Source organism: Homo sapiens, chromosome 2 (assembly GCF_000001405.40).
Source record: "Homo sapiens chromosome 2, GRCh38.p14 Primary Assembly".
NCBI classification, from domain to species: Eukaryota; Metazoa; Chordata; class Mammalia; order Primates; family Hominidae; genus Homo; species Homo sapiens.
In genome coordinates, this window is record NC_000002.12 from 18,074,862 (window position 1) to 18,078,858 (window position 3,997).

General features: G+C 39.5%; 1 annotated feature.

Moving 5' to 3' along the window:
* Window positions 433-639: a silencer, noted in NCBI's record as "fragment chr2:18256560-18256766 (GRCh37/hg19 assembly coordinates)". NCBI's record gives its function as "represses an EF-1alpha promoter that drives an FKBP-Casp9 reporter gene in an ReSE screen in phorbol 12-myristate 13-acetate-treated (for megakaryocytic differentiation) K562 erythroleukemia cells {active_cell/tissue: K562(+PMA)}" and the evidence as "EXISTENCE:reporter gene assay evidence [ECO:0000049][PMID:32094911]".

Genomic DNA, 3,997 nt, shown 5'->3' on the forward strand with positions numbered 1-3,997 from the left:
GGATGACAGTGCCTATTCCAGTCCTACTGCATTGCAAGTGATTAAGAAATGTCATCCAATTTTATTATTATTAAATAATGGCATTTTTTTTTCTCCGCTCATGAATCAAAAAGGCTTCTCATATGCTCCTTACAGGGTAAAATGGTTTGTAAGGTAAGATTTCTTTGAAAGATTTAAATCTTTGAGCAGAAAGGAGCTCTGGAAGGGCATTCCCTTTCCAGGTTTGGGGAAGTGGTGGTAAATGTAAAATGGTCTGGCCTCAGTCTCACCGTTTCTGTGTTTTAATTTCTGCTTTTATGACCAGTGTTGTTACTTCATAGTACAACTGAGACTCAGTGGAGTTTACAAAAGGAACATTAATAACTCCTATATCCACAATCTATGGCTGCACTAAAAATACTCCAAATTTTGGCTTTAAAACATAAATTATTTATTGCTGCTTAGGGTGTTGTGGTCTCTCCTGGGCTCACCTCTATGATGACAGATGATGAATCGAATGCTGGATTGTCTAAGATGACCTCACTCACATGTGTGGCAGGGGGTGCTGGCTGTCCCTATCAGCACAAAGACCAGCCTGGGCTCCTTGGTCCTTGTCCACATAGCTTTTCATCTTCCAGGGGGCTAGAAGCTTCCTTACAGCAGAGCTAGCTCAAAGCAGAACCCCAAGAGGACATGCCCCAGTGCACAAGCACGTATTAACCTCTGCTTGAGTCAAGTTTGTTCATGGCCCTTGGGCCAAATCGAGTCACATGGCTGGCTCAATATCACACAGCAGAGGAATTAGATTCCACATTTTGATGGGAGAAGTGGTAGAGATTGTGGCCATTTTTAATCCACCATGATCACACACCAAAAAAAAAAAAAAACCCAGAAAGGATTAAGAGAAGGCACCTGGATGATAAAAGGATAAAAAGAACTCAACTTGCAAAGCATGGATTTGTAGTTTCCCTTGGGTCAAAAAGCTTTCAGGCCTGGCCCCATCCTGCATCCTGTCAGGGTGAAGCAGCACCCACTAGCTCCCGGCAGGTACACTTGGTAGGTGTCTTCTTGTCCCCTTCCTTTGTTTCCTGGTAGGTTTCTAAGGCATCATCTTACATCCTCTCCTTTGGGAGCTGGCTATTGTACATCTCTATTCCCTAGACCCTTTCTAGCAGATGCTCTTATTTCTATAGCTACCTCTCCCGTGCCTTCCCCCGACTCCTCCTTCTCAGCCCAATAACCAGGGCCAGACCTTCTTCCAGGGCTGAGAACATGATATAATTAATCTATTATTGCTATGGTATAACTGTTGCTGATTGAAATTGTAATACATACAATGATTACCTTTTGTTAATCAGCTTAACAGTTTTGAGATTACCTTATAGCTTTATTTAATAGAGAAATATAAGTATTCCTTATGGAAATAGCTTAGTATATTTATTAATGTCTAACATGCCTTTTAAGTTAAATTATAAACTAGATATATTTCCAAATCTCTCTCCTTATATTTATATAAATATTAATATATTTGTCATATGTATCATAAGTATTCCATATCTTAAATGTCCGATTAATATTCTATTTGTGTGGTTGTGCTAAAATATATTTAGCCATTCTGATGATGAATACTTAGGTTATTGCCATTTTGCTACTCAAATAAATCATGTTGCAATGAATACCTTTTCACATATTAATATACTTTTTATGATTATTTACTTAGGGTGGATTCCTAGGGGACTCCTAAACCAAAGGATATATGCAGTCAATAAAACTCATTTTATCAGTTTGCCCATCAAATAATTTTATGAATTTATATTCACAATAATTGTGTATAAGAAAAAGATACCCCTTTCCTCCCATCTTTCATGTAATTTTCTCCAAAAACCCAAGTTATTTTTCTTTTTAAAAAAAAAAAAAAAACACACACACACAAGAAGTGAAGAGAGCTAAGAGTTAAATATTTCTAACCCAAGGAATGGGCAAGTCTAAATTAAACAACTAAATTACTAGAGAAGCTACAAAAATCCCTGGTGTGAATGTCCCAGCCCAGGACTCCCTAAAGCCAGGAAGGGAGAAAAAAAGTCTCAAAAGCGGCAGAAGGAAAAGCCCAGTCTCCTGTTCTGTCCAGCATGGCAGCCTGTTCCCGAAGGTTGGTCTCCACAGAGGGGCCCCTATGCCAGACTCTGCTGACATCCACCACTACCAAAGGATCCACTTCAGAGGCCAGACATTTTCCAAAGCCAGCTCCAACCTTGGTTGTCCTGTTAAGACAACCTGGTTTCCAGTGTGAAGCTATCATTTCCCCTCAGACCTGATCATTGCTTCAGACTTTGGGGTTGATATAACCTGTCAAGGAAAAAGTGTTTGTCGTTAGAGAGGCTGAACAGAAATATTCCAGGGCCTACCATGGACGCAACTTTTTCTTCAACTCAAAATTCCAGACTCACTCTCATTGACTCATTGCTTTTTCCAGTGACAGCCCCCAGTGACAGAACTCTGTAACAGAAAATAGTCAAAGGTATTTTGCCATTTGGCAACTGCTTCTAAATAGTACTAGAAAAGGGCTTTTTATCTCTTTGTTATGCTTTAAGTGTCCTGATTAATGTTTGAAATAACTCCAGGGATTATTATGTGAAAGTCTTCCCAGGGCTTTGCCTGGGATCTTAATTCCAGGGGAATGTACACATGTGGGATGTGGGGTTTGGAGCCTTTTGGAGTGGATATTTCAGAGCTCCCACCATTTTCTCTTCTAGAGTAGCATGGAAGCAGCCAGCTAGCTCAAGCCTCCCCTTTCCTCAAAGGGCCTTTTCACATTCTAAATATTGAAGTGAATCCTTGCTATAATAATCTTTTACTTCTTCATATCTGAATGTAAAAGTTTTATGGCTTTTCTTTTATGTTATTCATCCATGTCAGAGAAGGTGGTGTCCTTAAAAATAAATCTTCTAGTTCAAATTCCTCATTTGCAAAAACTGCAGCCCAGAGAGGGAATATGAGTCACCTAAGCTCACATATATCTTGTTGGTACCAGGCCCTGGATAAAAGTCTGGGCCTTCAGGCTTGTGGTAAGAACCACTTCCTCTGTCTCTTTTTAGAAGCTCTTTGGTGAATACATTTTTGAACCTATTGCTAAATAGTCATTAGGCACCAGTCACAGTGCCTAACACTTCACAGTCACCACATCAAATCCTCACGGCAGTTCTATCAGTACTATTATCTTAATTTTACAGGTAAGGGAAATGGTTTTGGAGATGTTTTTAAGTCACCTAATATAATGTATTAGTTTTCTATGGCTGCTATAAAAAATTGCCACAAACTTAGTGCTTAAACAAGATGTATTAGCTTACAGTCTTATAGCTTGTAAGCCCAAAATTGGTTTAATTGGGTTAAATCAAGGAGTTAGCAGCATTGTGTGCCCTTTCTGTTGGTACTGTGGGATAGTCTGTTTTTTCATGTTTCTAGCTTTACTGGCTGCCCACATTCCTTGGCTTGTGACCCTTTTCTCCATCTTCAAAGCCTGCAGCTGCCTGCTGCATTCTTACCTTGCATCTCTCTGACCCTTCCTCTATTATCTTATCTCTGTCCACAGCTGGGAACGGTTCTCTGCTTTTAAGGACTCAATGTGACTAGCTGGGCTCACCCAGATAATCTCCCTATCCTCAAGGTTTATCATCTTAATTACAGTTGCAAATTCCCTTTTGCCACGTAAGGTAACATATCACAGGTTAGGATGGACATATTTGAGAAGGTCTTTATTCTGTTTTCTAAGTCCACCCTCTGGATTCCTAAAAATCCACATCTGTCACACATGCAAAATACATTTTTCCTATCCCAAGGTCTCTAAAAGTCTCAGCCCATAACATGAAATCAGCTAGTAGGTCAATGAAATATAGAACATTTAACCACCAGTCAACTGCACATTGTACAATTTTGCTTTAATTTCGAGTGTGCGATTCTCTTTCTGATTTGCATGAGCTCTTCAAGTCACAGAATATTAGACTATAAGCTCCATGAAGGT